A 17,440-nucleotide genomic window follows, 5' to 3' on the forward strand; every position below is an offset into this window, starting at 1 on the left:
AGAATGCATCCCTGGGGGGAGGTCTATGAACGGCCACTCTGGGAATGTCTGTCTTGTGCAGTTGAGATAAGGACTGAGATAAGCCCTCCTCTCCTGCAGAATCCTTAGGCTTACTAGGGTTGGGAAAACTCAGCGCTAGTAAATTTGTGGTCAGACTGGTTCTTTGCTCTCAAACCCTATTTTCTGTTGTTTAAGATGTTTCATCACTCTCAGCTTTCACCTCAGAGGAGGCCAAGGTGCAACTTTCTTTAGTCATCCCAAATCCAGGTTCATCTGACACCAGCCGCCTCCACCATGCCACCGAAGTTCAACCCTAATGAGATCAAAGTCGTATACCTGAGGTGCACCGGAGGTGAAGTCAGTGCCACTTCTGCACTGGCCCCCAAGATCGGCCCCCTGGTCTGTCTCCAAAAAAGGTTGGTGATGACATTGCCAAGGAAACAGGTGACTAGAAGGGCCTGAGGATTACAGTCAACCTGACCATTCAGAACAGACAGACCCAGATTGAGGTGGTGGCTTCTGCCTCTGCCCTGATCATCAAAGCCCTCAAGGAAGCACCAAGAGACAGAAATTAATAGAAAAACATTAAACACAGTAGGAATATAACTTTTGATGAGATCGTCAACATTGCTTGACAGATGCGGCACTGATCCTTAGCCAGAGAACTCTCTGGAACCATTAAAGAGATCCTGGGGACTGCCCAGTCTGTGGGCTGTAATGTTGATGGCCACTACCCTCATGACATCATAGATGACATCAACAGTGGTGCTGTGGAATGCCCAGCCAGTTAAGCACAAAGGAAAATATTTCAATAAAGAATCATTTGACAACTAGAAAAAAAAAAAAAAGATGTTTATCAAGACAATATGTGCACCGCTGAACATAGGCTCTTATCAGTGGTTCTACTTTTGCCCTTTGCCCTGTGATCGTTGTTGGACCCTAATCAGTGGTTCTGCTTTTGCCCTTTGCCCTGTTCCCTCAGAAGCATGTGATCTTTGTTAGACTCTTATCAGCGGTTCTGCTTTTTGCTCTTTGAAACATGTGATCTTTGTACCTACTCTCTGTTCTTACACCCTCTCCCCTTTTGAAACCCTTAATAAAAACTTGCTGGTCTGAGACTCAGGCAGGCATCACAGTCCTACTGATATGTGATGTCACCCCTGGCAGCCCAGCTATAAAATTCCTCTCTTTGTACTGTCTCTCTTTATTTCTCAGCCAGCCAACACTTATGCAAAATAGAAAGAACCTACATTGAAATATTGGGGGTGGGCTCCCCCAATAGAAAGGCAGGAGGAAGTTGAGGGCCAGGGGTCTAGGATGTAAGTTAATCCCGGGTTAGGCAAGAGATGGAGAAGAGATTTAAACGTTGGCTTTTAGGTCCTCTATATTTTTATTGGCCTTTTCTAATAAGTCCTTAATAGAAGCTATTTTAGAATTTTCCTTTGAGAGGACTCTTCCTGGTCATTTAAAAACGCTAATTATTGAATATCTGGGAACATTTAACCATTGACTGTAAGGTGCCAAAAACAGATTATCTTATTCACATCCAAAGTTCACCAGAACAGCCACTAAAGTTCTAGAATGTCCTTAGTAAGATTCTGCCATAGGATCCAATATTTAATTCTATTTACCGCACAACATTGAGCTCATATTCAAATAAAAAGAACAAAGAAGAAATAAATACACAGGCCCCAAAATTCTCTTGGAACTATGAGCCCAGGTCATCTGTGAGAACCTTGAGTAGTAAAAACAAATCATATCCAGAGGCTTATACCAAAGACAATAAAGGTAACGAAGGCTTAAGTGGGGCTGGGCATAGTGGCCCACACCTGTAATCCCAGCACTTTGGGAGGGCCGATCACCTGAGGCCAGGAGTTCAAGACCAGCCTGACCAATATGGTGAGACCCTGTCTCTACTAAAAATGCAACAATTAGCCAGGCGTGGTTGCCCGGACCTGTAGTCCCAGCTACTCAGGAGGCTGAGGCAGGAGAATGGCTTGAACCCGGGAGGTGGAGGCTGCAGTGAGCTGAGACTGTGCCAGTGCACTCCAGCCTGGGCAACAGAGTCAGACTCAGTCTCAAAAAAAAAAAAAAAGGCTTAAGTAGGCACAGTAGCTCACACCTGTAATCATGGCACTTTTAGAGGCTGAGGTGGGTGGATCACTTAAGCCCAGAAGTTCAAGAACAATCTGGGCAACATGGTAAAACCACATCTCTACAAAAAAATACAAAAATTAGCCAGGCGTGCTAGCACACACCTGTGGTCCCAGCTACCCTGGAGGGTGAGGTGGGATGATCTCTTGGGCCTGGGAGGTTGAGGCGGCAGTGAGCCGTAATTTTACCACTGCACTCCAGCCTGGCAACAGAGTGAGAACTCATCTCAATAAAAAAGAAAAAAAAAAGGCTGAGGTGATGATTCAAAGTTGTGAGACGGTTGGAAGCAGGGCTCATTCAGCTGAGCAGTCCCTGTGACTTGTAAAGGAGAAATAAAAACATCTTAGGACCCCCAAACTTGTTATGCAGCAGTGCTGGGTCATGCAGCACTGCTATCCTTTTCCCAAATAGACAGCTATTACTTTACAACCTGGTGTCAAAGCATCATACATTACCCAGACCCTCACAGAAAGGCAGAAGGTCTGATACCATCTCCACATGATGGCCCTCATAAATTTTTCCCAACTAAACTCTTTGCTGGCCTCAAAACCTTTCAAGATGTACATCCTCCCATAAAACAAGAACCATGTCCATTTTAACTTTAGGTCTACCATCTAAGTCTAGCTCCTAAAACTAAAGTTTGCTAGAGTCACACTGATAATGTCAATTACAAGCTGATCTTCCCAGGAGCAGAACAAATCATTCCTCCACCTACCCTGAGATGTTTGCATAATTGATTCTTCCTCTACTCCCTTTTTCTCTGAATTCTTTATAATATAATCACCTTATCTGTATAAAATGTAGATTTACTGAGCTCTAATTAATTAATAGTTCCACAAAAGTATAACCATTTGCCTCACCACCCTACCCCCTCCTTCCCACATGCCTTCTCCCCTTTAAAGAAATGTATAAATACTGTATTAGTCCGTTTTCACACTGCTATAAAGAACTGCCTGAGACTGGGTAATTTACAAAGAGATTGAATTGACTCATAGTTCCACATGGCTGGGGAGGCCTCAGGAAACTTACAATCACGACAGAAGAAGGGGAAGCAAGCTACCTTCTTCAAAAGGTGGCAGGAAGAAGTGCTGAGCAAAGGGGGAAGAGTCCCTTATAAAACCATCGCATCTCAAGATAACTCACTCAATATCACGAGAACAGCATGGGGGAAACCACCCCCATAATCCAATTACCTCCACCTGGTCTCTCTCTTGACACATGGGGATTATAGGGATTATAATTCAAGATGAGATTTGGGTGGGGAAACAGAGCCTAACCACATTTTACATATTTGATTTTTTAAAATATTTGATAACTTTCATTTTGAATTAATTTCCTTTGTAATCTCACATATTTTATTTTATGCATTCAAAAGATTATTCTGGCCAGGCATGGTGGCTCATGCCTGTAATCCCAGCACTTTAGGAGACCGAGACGGGTGGATCACTTGAGGTCAGGAGTTTCTGACCAGCCTGGCCAACATGGTGAAACCCTGTCTGTAATTAGCCGGGCTTGGTGGCCCATGCCTATAATCCCAACTACTCAGGGAGGCTGAGGCATGAGAATCTCTTGAACCTGGAAGGCAGGGGTTGTCGCTGAGATCGTGCCACTGCATTCCAGCCTGGGTGACAGAGCAAGAATCCGTCTTAAAAAAAAAAAAAAAAAAAAAAAAAGATTCTAAGAAGGTGTCCATGGGCTCTACCAAACTACCAAAGAGGTTTATGGTCAAAAAAACAGAGAAGAGTTCCTGCCCTCAGGAGTTATTTCTTTTTTTTTTTTTGCATGGTTGAAATTAAGTTACTGCCATTTCTACATTCCAATCCAAGCAAATGTAAGAAGAGTTTCACGGTAAGCCATTCCCTTAGGCAGAAGTTGCATATAACATTTCTGCTTATATGTCATTATGAGAACTGAAACTTGACAACATCTAGCTGCAAGAGAGACTTGGGGGAATATAATCTCTACTTACATTCCAAGTGACTACATACAAACTGACTTTGTACCCAGCTAACCATTACTAACAAGAAGGGGAAAGAAACAAAAAAGAAGGGGAGGCCTGGCGTGGTGGCTCATGCCTGTAATCCCAGAACTTTGGGAGGCTGAGGCAAGCAGATCACTTGAGGTCAGGAATTCTAGACCAGCCTGGACAACATGGTGAAACCCCATCTCTACTAAAAATACAAAATTGGCCAGGTGTAGTGGTGCGGTCCTGTAATCCCTGCTACTTGGGAGGCTGAGGCAGGACAATCGCTTAAAGCAGGGAGGCGGAGGTTGTAGTGAGCCAAGATCATGCCACTGCATTCCAGCCTAGATGACAGAGTGAGGGTCTATCTCAAAAAAAAAGGAAGAACGGGAAACAGATTATAGGGAGCAATCAAGAAAAGAAAAAGAACTAATGACCTCATTTACAACTTAAATGAATAGGCATTTTTTTTTGCAAACCAAAATAACTTTTACTATAGATATGTTAATGATGTCATTAAAACATTTTCTAAAACATATTTTATAAGTTTAAGAGTTAACAAGCCTTGGCCAGTTTCGGTGGCTCACGCCTGTAATCCCAGCACTGTGGGAGGCCAAGGCAGGTGGATCACAAGGTCAGCAGTTCAAGACAAGCCTGGCCAAGATGGTGAAACCCCATCTCTACTAAAAATACAAAAAATTCACCGGGCCTGGTGGCGGGTGCCTGTAATCCCAGCTACTCGGGAGGCTGAGGCAGAGAATTGCTTAAACCTGGGAGATGGAGGTTGCAGTGAGCCGAGATTTTGCCACTGCACTCCAGCCTGGGCGACAGAGCAAGACTCCGTCTCAAAAAAAAAAAGACTTAACAAGCCTTAAGGCTAAGTACTATGCTCATGAAAGACTCAGATAGCATCTAAGAGAGCCTTTGTTTTTGAATGCTGGGAAACATAGGGAGAGGATCCCGTAATTTATGAAAGGGAGCATAGTATGGAGCAATCTAATCTATGAGGGGAATCTTTCCCAAGCCTGACCAGTTGACAAGGCTTTCTGGCACACTAGGTTGTAAATCTCTTAGAGAGAAGACAGTGTAAAGCTTGGCTCTTGAGTAAACAAACTTTCAGGTCCATGAGATTGCATTCTCCCTTTGCAAGTTTCTTACTGGTGACCATTTAAGACTACTCTATTGATGAATATCACTTGTACTTTAAGACTGTGCAAAGATCAAACACTTTTGGAAAAATCAGACAACCTTTACTTACCTAGCAGAGAGAGGATAAAATCAGCACAAGTACAGACAAGGATACATGGCAGAGAGATCAGCTACTTTATCCCAAATGCTTCCCAGACATTAAATCCTAACGGACACTAAGCCCTCCTTAGGCTGTATAGGAGTGGGGTCCCTATCAGAATTTCCGGCAACAAAAGTCCCTCTCCTTGGGTTTGTTTTTACTTGCTGACCTGCGTGGCTAGGTGCTAGAAAATCCCTTATCTGAGCCAAGTGTGTCCAGCTATGTTCCAGGAACTGCTCCTAGTGAGGTATATGTACTAATTCATGTAACTATCTCAAAAATTAAATAAGGTAAGTATTATTGTTATCCCCATTTTTCAGAAGAGCGAAAAAACAAAAAAATGAAGTGATTTTCCCACAAAGTTCTATCACTAGGGAGCTGCAAAACAAGATTCAAACCTTGGGGCATACTTAAGAGCACTGAACAGGTTTGAGCCAAAGAGCCATTAGAGGGCCAGAGCCGGGTCCTGAACCAACAATAGACGGAGATGTGCTAGACACACTGGAGGTGCTGGGGTATAAGGGACCATTGCTAGAGGAGCAAGCCCTTATGAAGGCAGCAGAGTGGACTATATGTAGGAGCATATACGGTATAGGATTATATATATAGGCTTTTATACAGGAAGAAGGTGGTATATACTGTAAAGGAATAGATATATAAACTATATAAATTCCTATACAGGATATGGTTAGGCTTTCAAATAAAATCATTATGCAACTTGGAAGAAAGTATGACTTCTGCTGGAAGAGATGATCTAGAGAGCTTCCAGCTTGAGGTAAATGATTTTTTTAAAAGAAATGGCATGTCCATATTCTGTACTCATATCAGGAGATACTAAAGATCATTTTAAAAAAGGAGGACTGGCTGGGTACAATGGCTCACACCTGTTATCCCAGCACTTTGGGAGACCAAGGTGGACAGATTGCTTGAGTCCCAGGAGTTCAAGGCCAGCCTGGGCAACATGGTGAACCCCATCTCTACAAAAAATACAAAAATCAGCTGGGTGTAGTGGTGCATGCATGTTGTTCCAACTACTTGGGGGCCTGAGGTGGAAGAATTGCTTAAGTCAAGGAGGTCAAGCCCACAGTGAGCTGAGATCGCGCCACTGTAAATAAAAAAATATAAAAAGGACTGTTTGAAACTCCTATTATTTTTAAGTACAGAACTTGAAGCTTCACAGATATTACAGAACAAGAAACATTAAAATTCTCAATTAGATAAAAATAATGAAATTTATCAGGAAGTTCAAGTTCTGTGTGATAACCTTGGTGTACCCAAGTAAACAACTTCTGACATTCTGGTTATGCTAAACCAAGTGGAATCAAAGGTGAAAGACAGGCAGGACGCAGTGGCTCATGCCTATAATCCCAGCACTTTGTGAGGCAGAGATGGGAGGATCTCTTGAGCCCAGGAGTTGGAGACCAATTTGGGTGACATAGCAAGATCCCATCTTATTTCAAATTTTTAAAAATTGTTAATTTTTTTATTAAAATTAAAGAAAACCACTCTGCTGAAAATTAATTTAAATTTGAAACAGGCAGAACAACTGGAAAGAGTCAATGATGCTCTTTCCTGTGAACATGAGTGCCTCTAGCGAATGTTATGAAACAATTAGATGCGGCAATACAGTCCGTTGCACGGTGTGATACAGCCAAGGTAAGAAAAGATGACACAGCAAGAATTTACCAGCCTCAGTGTTATGCTTTGTCACCCAAGACAGCGATTATAATGGTGCATCTACTTGCTGCTCATGATAATCTATCCAAGATCATTAGGACAAGCAGTGGAGCCAGCCAGATGATGGCATGTGCCATTAATAAGGTGCTGATGGGAAGGGTGCCTGACAGGGGAGGCTGGCCAAATGAAATTGAACCACCACCCTCTGAAATGCCCCCTTGGCAAAAGAGACAAGAAGGCAGTGGCGGAAGGGGTGGTTGGGGTGGTGGTTGTGGAGGTAGAGGTGGTAGTAGAAGAGGCTGTGGGGGTGGAGGTGGAAGAGTTGGCTGGGGTAGAGGAGGATGGGAAAGTGGTGGGGGAGAGGGAGGAGGTGGGATGGAGGTGGTAAAGGAGGTTTCTAAGGCAGAGGAGATGATGGTGGGAGGGGAGATTATGGTGGAAAAGATTATGTAGATCCATATGGAGGAGGTGGTGATGGTGGTGGATATAGGAGATACTGAAGACTACAAAAATTAAAAACCAAAACCAACAAACCTCAAGCGCAAAGGAATAGTCTGCCCTCTTATGTCACAAGCACTAACTAACCACCTCTGCCCTTTCTCATCCCTTAATCATTCAGACAAGATTTCCTTGTTTACTTCCTCCTATAAAAACCCTAAGTCTATTTCATTTTCTTTGAAAAGATTCCTCTGCATTAATGGATGTTGTCCTTACTACAATAGCATGAAAAAAAAAAAAAGTCTCCTTAATGCAGCTTAGCAATTTTCCAGGCTTGATATCAGTGACTCCATCTTGGGCTATTGACTCCATGCTGAGCTGCTGCTAAACTTTGAGGCCCACGAAGAAACTGTGAAAAATATTTCCTTCACAAACAACTGTTATAAATAAAGTTTTGGTGTTGCAAAAGAAATAGCACTCGAATATAAATTTTCTTTTTAATTCTCAGCAAGGCAATGTACTTCTTTTTTTTTTTTTTTTGAGACAGAGTCTTGCTCTGTCGCCCAGGCTGGAGTGCGTGTCGCAATCTCGGCTCACTGCAAGCTCCGCCTCCCGGGTTCATGCCATTCTCCTGCCTCAGCCTCCGGAGTAGCTGGGACTACAGGCACCTGCCACCACGCCCAGCTAATTTTTTGTATTTTTTAGTGTTAGCCATGATGGTCTTGATCTCCTGACCTCATGATCCGCCTGCCTCGGCCTCCCAAAGTACTGGGATTACAGGCGTGAGCCACTGCGCCCGGCGGCAATGTACTTCTATAGACGGGTGCGCCCTCACAGATGGAGCAATGGTGAGCTCACACCTGGGCAAGGGAGGGGAAGGGGTTCTTATTCCTGATGCACGTGGCCTCTGCTGCTGTGTCGTTCCCCTGTTGGCTAGGGTTAGACCGCACAGGCTAAACTAATTCTGATTGGCTAATTTAAAGAGAGTGATGGGGTGAGCGGTTTGGCAGGAAAAATGGTTAAGGCGGGGCAGGAAATCGGAATGAGTCAGGGTGGAGCAGGTGATTGAAATGAGTCAGGGTGGAGCAGGTGATGGAAAAAGGTTGCTTTACGAGGAAGTTAAGTTTAAAAGTAAAAGGCAAAGATTGACCATACTGACATATTGATTCTTTGAAGAGAAATTTAGAATTCATATCTAACACAACCGTTTTTGCAACAACACACAACCCAAGAAAGCTGGTCTCAATATTATTATTATTATTATTATTATTTTCCGAGACAGGCTCTTACTCTGTCACCCAGGCCGGAGTTCAGTGGCTCAATCTTGGCTCACTGCAACCTCTGCCTCCCAAGCTCAAGTGATCCCCCCATCTCAGCCTCCCAAGTAGCTGGGACTACAGGCGCATGCCACCACTCCTGGCTAATTTTTTTTGTTTTTTGTATATTTTTTGTAGAGATTGGGTTCACCATGTTGGCAAGGCTGCTCTCTCAAACTCCTGGCCTCAAGTGATCCTCCCCAAAGTGCTGGGATTACAAGCATAAGCCACCACGCCTGATCCCCAATCTTTTTTTGTTTGTTTTGTTTCATGAGACAGACTCTTTCTGTGGCCCACGCTGGAGTGCAGTGGCGTGATCTCGGCTCACTGCAACCTCTGCTTCCTGGGTTTAAGCAATTCTCCCGCCTCAGCCTCCCGAGTAGCTGAGAATTACAGGTGCCCACAACCACGCCTGGCTAATTTTTATATTTTTAGTAGAAACAGGGTTTCACCATGTTGGTCACGTTGGTCTCAAACTCCTGATTTCAAGTGATTCACCCACCTCAGCCTCCCAAACTGTCAGGCCTCTGAGCCCAAGCTAAGCCATCATATCCCCTGTGACCTGCACGTATACATCCAGATGGCCTGAAGCAACTGAAGATCCACAAAAGAAGCGAAAATAGCCTTAACTGATGACATTCCACCATTGTGATTTGTTTCTGCCCCATCCTAACAGATCAATGTATTTTGTAATCTCCCCCACCCTTAAGAAGGTTCTTTGTAATTCTCCCCACCCTTAAGAAGGTTCTTTGTAATCTCCCCCACCCTTAAGAAGGTTCTTTGTAATTCTCCCCACCCTTGAGAATGTACTTTGTGAGATCCACCCCCTGCCCGCAAAACATTGTTCCGCGGAGCCTCTCCCAAAACCTATAAGAATTAAAGATAATCCCACCACCCTTTGCTGACTCTCTTTTCGGACTCAGCCCGCCTGCACCCAGGTGAAATAAACAGTCTTGTTGCTCACGCAAAGCTTGTTTGGTGGTCTCTTCACACGGATGCGCGTGACACAAAGTGCTGGGGTTACAGGCCTGAGCCACCACACCTGGCCACCCCCAATCTTTAAGAATATTCTGGCCGGGCGCGGTGGCTCATGCCTGTAATCCCAGCACTTTGGGAGGCTAAGGCGGGCGGATCAAGAGGTCAGGAGATCGAGACCATCCTGGCTAACATGGTGAAACCCCGTCTCTACTAAAATACAAAAAATTAGCCGGGCATGGTGGCGGGCGCCTGTAGTCCCAGCTACTTGGGAGGCTGAGGCAGCAGAATGGCGTGAACCTGGGAGGCGGAGCTTGCAGTGAGCCGAGATCGTGCCACTGCACTCCAGCCTGGGCGACAGAGCGTGACTCCGTCCCCCCCCCAAAAAAGAAAGAATATTCTGTATGTAGTTTTTTTGTTTTGTTTCTGACAGACGCAAACGCACTCTTCTAGTAATGACTAAAGACTTCTTCGTTTAATTCACCAATGAACTAATCTGACAATTTATGTAACAAATAAATTCCTATAAACATAAGCTCCCTTGCCCCTCTCCAGTGGCACAATCTCTGATTTGCCATCCTGGTTGCAACCTTCATTACTAAGTAAACGCTTACGTAAACCTTAATAATGAGATTCGGGCAATATGATTAAATATTGGTTTATTTGAGTGCAAAGTTTGAGGATGGCGACCCGGTAGGACACAGACTCCAAAAGATGGGGGTCAGTGCTTCGAAAGGGAGAAGTTTGAGGGTCGTTTACACAGGCAGGGTCTGGGAAGCTTAACAGGATGTCAACATTTTCCATAGAAGGTTAACGCATAGCAATTTGATTGGTTCAAGGCAGTGTTTCTTTTTGGGAAGGGTCTATTTAACATTCCACATTAAGGATGTAATAGTCAAGCGGTCATTTATCTTATTCAATGCGTATTTTATCTCAGATGCCATCTGGTCTGAGCTGGGAACAAGAAAATAAGGGAGTTAATCTATAACAAAAGGTCGGCAATTAAGAGGTCGTGCTTCGTGATCTGGTCTCCAAAGTCAACTTTCCTCAGGGACTTTCAGAATCCCCAAATAGACTATCCACTTTCTTTCACACTTATTTGCCTCTAACTTGTTGATTTCTTTTTTTTTTTTCTGTTTTTTAAGGGTTAACAATCTCTTGGGTGCACTCTGACTTCCATGCGCTTTATAGAAAAAATTGGTCCTGAGGCCAGCAGCAACAGTCGGTCTCAGGAACTTGTTAGAAATGCACATTTTTCAGCCCCACCCCAAACCTACTGAATCAGCAGTTTTGCTGGTGGTTCTCAATCTCTCTTTAACGTGCCCTCTGGGTGCTGCGGATGCACGCTGAAGGTAGAAGATCGCTGCAGGAGATTTCCGCGTCGGGCAGATGAAAGCGCTCTGCAAGCCCGGGTGTTATCTGCGGGCCGGGTCCGCGGCTTCTCTGGTGGCACTAGGACCGCGGCGGCGCGGCCCTCGCAGCCACCGCCTCGGGCGTGAGGCGGAGCGTAGCTGTTCCTGGATCCTGGGCCTGGCTCCTCGACCCGCCCCTGGAGGCGGACCCCACTTGACTTAAACTCTGGGGCCCGGGAGGCCGCCGGTTTTCTCCCCGCTTGCCGGGGTGGTCCTCTTCCCTTTGTCGGTAAGTGTGAGACGAGCACCCCGAGGTCCCTCCGCCTTCCGGGGTCCGGGCGGGGCGGGGGCCGGGAGCCGGGAGCCAGAGGCACTCGCGGTCCGGGCCTGCGCGCGGCGCAGAGCGCTTTTGTTCTGCGGCAAAGACGCAGTCGCGGGCGGCCCCGGAACCCGGGCCTCGGGCCCCGCCGGCTCGCGCGTCCCGCCGTCCGCCCACCGGAGCTGGGCCGGGCCGCCGCGCTTGCTTCTGCCCGCCGCACCGGGGCCGGCCCTGGGCCTCCGCGGATGCCGAGCCTTGCACCGGAGGGCGGGCCTCGCTGGCTGTTTTCCCTCATTGCCTGGCTCTGCGCGGTAGAGGTCGCGAGTGGCGAAGGCTAGGACGCATTTTGTCGAACTGCGAGGCGCGGCTGGTGAGGCGGGTGGGTATGAGAGCTGCTTATGTTTTTAAGGCTTTCCTGTCGCTGGAGTGAAAAAGAAAAATCTTTTTTTTTTTTTGCTATTTCCCGAGGGTTCTCCTCCTCCCCGGCCCTCTTAAGCCGAAGCCTCCTGGAACAGAATTGCTGTACTGGCATCTATCTCCAAGTGGTCCGCGAACGCTTCTGCGCCGGCGATGGTTTCTGTTCCTCAGCAATAGTTCCTTGAGGCATTTTTAAATGCACAAACGCATACCCATCTTAGGTGTTCTCGAGGGACACGGATTCCCTAAGCAAACGTCCTTAGGGTCCTGAGTTCAGCAGCAAACTTTCGGGGAATCATTTCCGTGAAAACAATTTATTTGTAGTACATCGAGTGCATACTGTCTTAACATAAGGATGTGTATGAGCTTGAGGCGCATTTTCATTTAGTGGCGGGCGGGTGCATTTCAGTAGGCGGGCCGCAGAGCTTGTTTGGGGATTGCATTTTTCTGCTAAATGTGTTAGCTTTAATCATGTTTCAGTCACTGTTAATGTGCATGCATGTTAAGGTTTTAGGTTTTTTCCCCTGTGCAGTCGGATTTTTTTCTGTTTAATATTAATCCAATAAAGACAAGTGCAGAGATAAAGTATTATTGTTTTGCAGTGATACTACAATAGCGGACCTAGAGGAGCGCACATAAATTCTAACTTAAGTGAATGGTATTTTCAGGCCAGACCTAGTTTCTATTTCTGTTACTTAGGACACTTAATAAGAATTCAGTAAACTTAGCATGCTTTCAGTGCAGCCATAAAAGAAAACAGTTTTGCACAGCAGTGTCATATCTAGTAAACACATTAGCATGTGCTCTTTTATTATAAAATGTTTCTTGCTGTCCCTAGGACCAAAGAAGTAAACACTGTGTGGAGAGGGACTGACGTGTTTGGAGGGAAATGGGAATGTACACGATAATTAAAGAGTAAAGTTGTGCTCAACGGTAAGTGTATCACCTCTAAGAAACCCGCCCTGATTTAACCAGGCGGTTATTCACACTCAACTATGGAGTAATTCACCTATTACCGAATAAAATTACTAGCTCAGTGAATCAACATCGGTTTTAAATTAAACTGTGGGTCACAATGGAATTGACAGCAAAGCTTGAGAAGAAATGTTGTTGGCATAGTACTGAAAAATCAGTTGTTAATCTTAGCAAAATAAGGAAAGAGGTCTTTGGTAAGGGAATTGTGGTGGAAGTTACCTGGGCAGAGGTCTGCTTCTGTCTGTGCTGTGTTTATTTGATTGTTTTTATTATATTTTATTACTGTTGGTGGCACATAGGGGAATGTGGCGCAGAGCACCACTCTGGGAGGATGCTTCCCGTGCAGCCAAAGTGATCATGTCCAGGGCTTTCATCTGTAACCACAAAGTGTGTTAGGAAGTCTCACCTAATGATTAAGACCATGGTCCCTGTAACCACACTGCTTTGGTTCAGATCTTGGCTGTAGCACTCAGCCAACCCTGGAAAATAAACCTCTGCCTGTTCTCTCATCTATAAAATGGGGACAAGCACTAATGTCATAGGATTGTTATGGTAGAGTTACATGAGTTTCATGCATATCACAGTTAAACAGCTCCTGATGCATGGCAAGTGCCCAATAAATGTTAGCTATTGTCATGTTAGAGGAAATAGATTTTGTGGCCTGGGACATGTAATGCTGCCTTAGCAGAAATTCAGCTGGTTCATTTAAGCTCTAAATTTATGAGCTTTTTATTGATTAAACCCATCACTGTAGATCCTCTTAGATTCTCTTTTTTGTAGGTCTTGTTTTGTTAGGAAGTACCTGTCACTACTGGTCCACATCTGGATTTACCTGCAGGCTTGTTTGGAATAAAAAATGCCTCCAAATTCCTAGGCAGGACAAACTTGCCCCAAAGCTTTGTTGTTCTACATTATCTCTGTGATTGTACAGGAATCTCTCTTCCCTCCTAGATTATCAGTGTCTTGGATATAATTGGAGCTCAAATGCTTAGGGAATTGATTTAATGTTGCTTAAAACGTATTTGTAGGCCAGGTGTGGTGGCTCACGCCTATAATGCCAGCACTTTAAGAGGCTGGGGCAGGCAGATCACTTGAGGCCAGGAGTTCGAGACCAGCCCTGGCCTCAAGTTGGCCAACATGGCAAAACCCCATCTTTACTAATAATAACAAAAATTAGTCGGGCGTGGTGGCACATGCCTGTAATCCTAGCTACTCAAGTGGCTGAACCCAGGAGGTGGAGGTTGCAGTGACCTGAAGTCACCCCATCGTACTGCAGCCTGGGTAACAGAGCAAGATTCTGTCTTTTTAAAAAAAAAAAAAAAAAAGCATTTGTGAAGGTGAATTTCAAGAATCTAATCAGGCCTCCCTCCCTCCCCCATTAGAGGCACACTCTATTATGTAAAACAGACAGGGAGTGTATTCATTTTGAGATAAGTCCAGGATAACAGTTGACTAACCCTGGCTATAGATACGCAAGTTAAACATTCACTTTGGAAGAAGATTGTGAAGAAAGAATCTTGGACCTTGAGGAATTCTAAATGCTTTGTTGGGTGGCAACTATGCAATACTTACACTATTCCTAATACCTTAAGTGTACTTGTAAGTGAAGAGCAAAGTTGGAGGCTGTTGAGGTAAATAATCTCAAGTGAGATTGGAACTATACATTTTATGCTCCTGGTTTTCATGATCGCAAAGATTTAATGACAGTAACTTAAGATTCTCTTGATGTATCAAATTACAAGGTTTCATTTGTAAATAAGGTGATTAAAATGACAAAGTGTATTAAAAGAAATTGTATTGTCCAGTGAAGTTTTAAGAAACAGAAACCATAAGGTGATTATTATTTTTCAAGCCCCAAAGGAGAATTCATTAGATGACATACTTTTAAAGTTCATGGATCAGGGTCGGGTGCGGTGGCTCATGCCTGTAATCCCAGCACTTTGGGAGGCCAAGGTGGGCAGATCACCTGAGGTCAGGAGTTGGAGACCAGCCTGGCCAACATGGTGAAGCTCCATCTCTACTAAAAGTACAAAAAATTAGCCAGGCGTGGTGGCACATGCCTGAAATCCCGGCTATCCGGGAGGCAGAGGTTGCAGTGAGCTGAGATCGCGCCACTGTACCCTAGCTCGGGTGACAGAGTGAGACTCTGTCTTAGAAAATAAAGTCCATGGGCTGGTCGCAGTGGCTCACGCCTGTAATCCCAGCACTTTGGGAGGCCAAGGCAGGTGGATCATGAGGTCAGGAAATCGAGACCACCCTGGCTAACAGGTGAAACCCCAAAATTAGCCAGGTGTGGTGGCATGCGCCTGTAGTCCCAGCTAACTCAGGAGGCTGAGATAGGAGAATTGCTTGAACCCAGGAGGGGAGGTTGCAGTGAGCTGAGATCACACCACTGCACTCCAGCCTGGACGACAGAGCGAGACTGTCTCAAAAAAAAAAAAAAAAGTTCATGGAGCACAACCTTTGGGTTTTGATGGATCCAGGATCTAAATCCAAAAGAGAGTTTTAAAGATTTGGGACACTGTATCTTTGAGCTCTGCTGTCCTCTGCTTTGGTTTTCAGGCAGACCATCCCTCCACTGGGCAGCCCTGACATCTCCAGATGCAAGCAGCTTCAAGTTGTTCAGAGCATGCCTTTTGTAACTATAGTTAGAGATAAAATTCATAAGCCATTTATTCACTCATTTACACCCAGTGTACAGTTTCAGTGGTTTTTAGTATATTCAGAGTTGTGCACCCATCACCACGTCAATTTAAGAATATTTTATTACCCCCAAAATATCTCCATACTCAATAGTGGTAACTCCCCATTTTCTCCAACGCACCTTTCCCTAGGTAACCATTAATCTACTTCTGTAGGTTTGCATATTCTGAACACTTCATATAATTGAAGTCATAATATTTTTCATCCAGCATGTTTTCAAGGCTCATTTATGTTAACACATGTATGTTACTTCATTCGTTTTTATTACCAGATATTCCGTTGTATGGATATGCCACTTTTGCTTATTCTTCCATCAGTTAACAGACGTTTGACACGTTTTCACTCTTTGACTACTGTGAATAGTGCAGCTATGATCATTCATAGTGTTTATGTAGACGTGTATTTTTATTTCTTTTGGGTAAATACCTAGGAGTGGAATTCCTTGGTTATGATAACTGTTTAACATTTTGAGGAACTGCCAGGCTATTATCCAAAGTAGATTTACCACTTTATTTTTTATTTAACTTTTGTTTTATGTTTGGGGGTACGTGTGTAGGTTTGGGGGTACGTGTATAGGTAAAGTTGTGTCATGGGGGTTTGTGGAACATTATTTAATCACCCAGGTATTAAGCCTAGTACCCAATTAGTTGTTTTTTTTTCAAATCCTCTCCCTCCTCCCACGCTTTGCCTGCTTATAGGCCCCAGTGTGTTGAGCCCCTCTACATGTCCATGTGTTCTCATCATTTAGCTCCCACTTATGTGTGAAAGCATGCAATATTTGGTTTCCTGTGTTAGTTTGCTAAGGATAATGTCCTCTAGCTCCAAGCTCCTGCAAAGGACATGATCTCATTCTTTTTTTATGGCTGCATAGTATTCCCTAGTGTATGTGTACTGTTTTCTTTATGCGGTTTACCGTTGATGGGCATTTAGGTTGATTCTGGGTCTTTGCTATTGTGAATAGACATGCACAATTTTATACAGCAATGTTTGAGAGATGGTTGGTCTACATCCATAGACACTTAACTTTTATAGCCATAGAAGTGAGCCTGAAGTGGTAGCTCATTGTGGTTGTGATTTGCATTTACCTGATGATTAGTCATGTTAAGCATCTTTTTATGTGCATGTTGATTTCTTTGGAGAAGTATCTATTCAAAACTTTTGGCCTTAAATTTGTGTTGTCTTTGGATTGTCAGGTTGTAAGTTTTTAAGATATCCTGGATTCTGATCCTTCCTTACTAGGGACCATAAATGTGAGGGTTTACTCCTGGGTTCTAGGTTCTGTTCCATTGATCAATGCCTGTCCTGTGTCAGTACTATATGGTCTTGTTTATTGTAGTTTTGTCGTTTTGTTTTTTTGTTTTTTGTTTTTAAGACTGAATCTCACTGTGTTGCCCAGAATGGAGTGCGGTGGTGTGATCTTGGCTCACTGTAACCTCCGCTTCCGATTCTTCTGCCTCAGCCTCCAAAGTAGCTAGGATTACAGACACTTGCCACCACACCGCGGTAATTTTTGTATTTTTGGTAGAGGCGAGGTTTCACCATGTTGGCCAGGCTGGTCTCGAACTTCTGACCTCAAGTGATCAGCGTGCCTCTGCCTCCCAAAGTGCTGGAATTACAGGCGTGAGCCACTGCTCCCTGCCGGCTACTCCCTTTTCAACCCCTCCTTTTTCTGTGTCAAAGTTGCTGAGTGGCAGTCAGAAAATGAAAGTACCTCTGATTGGTCCCCTCCCACAACCAATCAGGCTAGTGGCTGGCCACTACTTCATTTACATAACGTGAATCCATGGTAAACCTCTAGAGAGTATTTAAACTGCAGAAAATTATGTAACTTGACTGTCTTGAGCCACTGCTGCCCCCGCTCCC

At 44.5% G+C, this 17,440-nt stretch overlaps 1 protein-coding gene, 1 long non-coding RNA gene and 2 pseudogenes across 6 annotated transcripts in view, besides 7 other annotated features; 3 read left to right on the forward strand and 1 right to left on the reverse strand.

Annotated features, from left to right (window-relative positions):
* On the forward strand, positions 207–832 carry RPL12P32 (ribosomal protein L12 pseudogene 32; annotated as a pseudogene).
* Positions 843–1,043: a silencer, noted in NCBI's record as "peak1659 fragment used in MPRA reporter construct". NCBI's record gives its function as "represses an SCP1 promoter by STARR-seq MPRAs in K562 erythroleukemia cells {active_cell/tissue: K562}" and the evidence as "EXISTENCE:reporter gene assay evidence [ECO:0000049][PMID:32103011]".
* Positions 4,269–4,770: an enhancer, noted in NCBI's record as "NANOG hESC enhancer chr12:32105242-32105743 (GRCh37/hg19 assembly coordinates)". NCBI's record gives its function as "activates a minimal SCP1, AML or CMV promoter by ChIP-STARR-seq in primed H9 embryonic stem cells {active_cell/tissue: H9 hESC(primed)}" and the evidence as "EXISTENCE:reporter gene assay evidence [ECO:0000049][PMID:30033119]".
* On the forward strand, positions 5,814–7,604 carry LOC100132543 (family with sequence similarity 98 member B pseudogene; annotated as a pseudogene).
* Positions 8,998–9,497: an enhancer, noted in NCBI's record as "H3K27ac hESC enhancer chr12:32109971-32110470 (GRCh37/hg19 assembly coordinates)". NCBI's record gives its function as "activates a minimal SCP1, AML or CMV promoter by ChIP-STARR-seq in naive H9 embryonic stem cells {active_cell/tissue: H9 hESC(naive)}" and the evidence as "EXISTENCE:reporter gene assay evidence [ECO:0000049][PMID:30033119]".
* Positions 9,501–10,294: an enhancer, noted in NCBI's record as "H3K27ac-H3K4me1 hESC enhancer chr12:32110474-32111267 (GRCh37/hg19 assembly coordinates)". NCBI's record gives its function as "activates a minimal SCP1, AML or CMV promoter by ChIP-STARR-seq in naive H9 embryonic stem cells {active_cell/tissue: H9 hESC(naive)}" and the evidence as "EXISTENCE:reporter gene assay evidence [ECO:0000049][PMID:30033119]".
* On the reverse strand, positions 10,454–11,265 carry LOC105369725 (uncharacterized). The gene is made up of 2 exons (XR_931503.2): positions 11,089–11,265; positions 10,454–10,765 (listed from the first exon to the last, which is right to left on the reverse strand). It is a non-coding gene; the product is annotated as an uncharacterized LOC105369725 (long non-coding RNA).
* Positions 11,347–11,686: a silencer, noted in NCBI's record as "silent region_4332". NCBI's record gives its function as "represses an Ori minimal core promoter by ATAC-STARR-seq in GM12878 lymphoblastoid cells {active_cell/tissue: GM12878}" and the evidence as "EXISTENCE:reporter gene assay evidence [ECO:0000049][PMID:35858748]".
* Positions 11,376–17,440, forward strand: part of RESF1 (retroelement silencing factor 1) — a 33,693-nt gene continuing 27,628 nt past the window's right edge. For 3 of the 5 annotated variants that reach the window (NM_018169.4, XM_005253405.4, XM_006719099.4), the window contains exons 1-2: positions 11,376–11,452; positions 12,738–12,832. The gene's annotated coding sequence lies outside the window, so the exon portion shown is untranslated. Of the gene's footprint in view, positions 11,862–12,737; positions 12,833–17,440 lie in introns of all 5 variants that reach the window. The other 2 variants (XM_011520722.2, XM_017019550.3) reach the window with 1 other exon arrangement.
* Positions 14,030–14,089: a silencer, noted in NCBI's record as "silent region_4333". NCBI's record gives its function as "represses an Ori minimal core promoter by ATAC-STARR-seq in GM12878 lymphoblastoid cells {active_cell/tissue: GM12878}" and the evidence as "EXISTENCE:reporter gene assay evidence [ECO:0000049][PMID:35858748]".
* Positions 15,016–15,516: an enhancer, noted in NCBI's record as "H3K4me1 hESC enhancer chr12:32115989-32116489 (GRCh37/hg19 assembly coordinates)". NCBI's record gives its function as "activates a minimal SCP1, AML or CMV promoter by ChIP-STARR-seq in naive and primed H9 embryonic stem cells {active_cell/tissue: H9 hESC(naive and primed)}" and the evidence as "EXISTENCE:reporter gene assay evidence [ECO:0000049][PMID:30033119]".

This window comes from Homo sapiens, chromosome 12 (genome assembly GCF_000001405.40).
Source record: "Homo sapiens chromosome 12, GRCh38.p14 Primary Assembly".
NCBI classification, from domain to species: domain Eukaryota; kingdom Metazoa; phylum Chordata; class Mammalia; order Primates; family Hominidae; genus Homo; species Homo sapiens.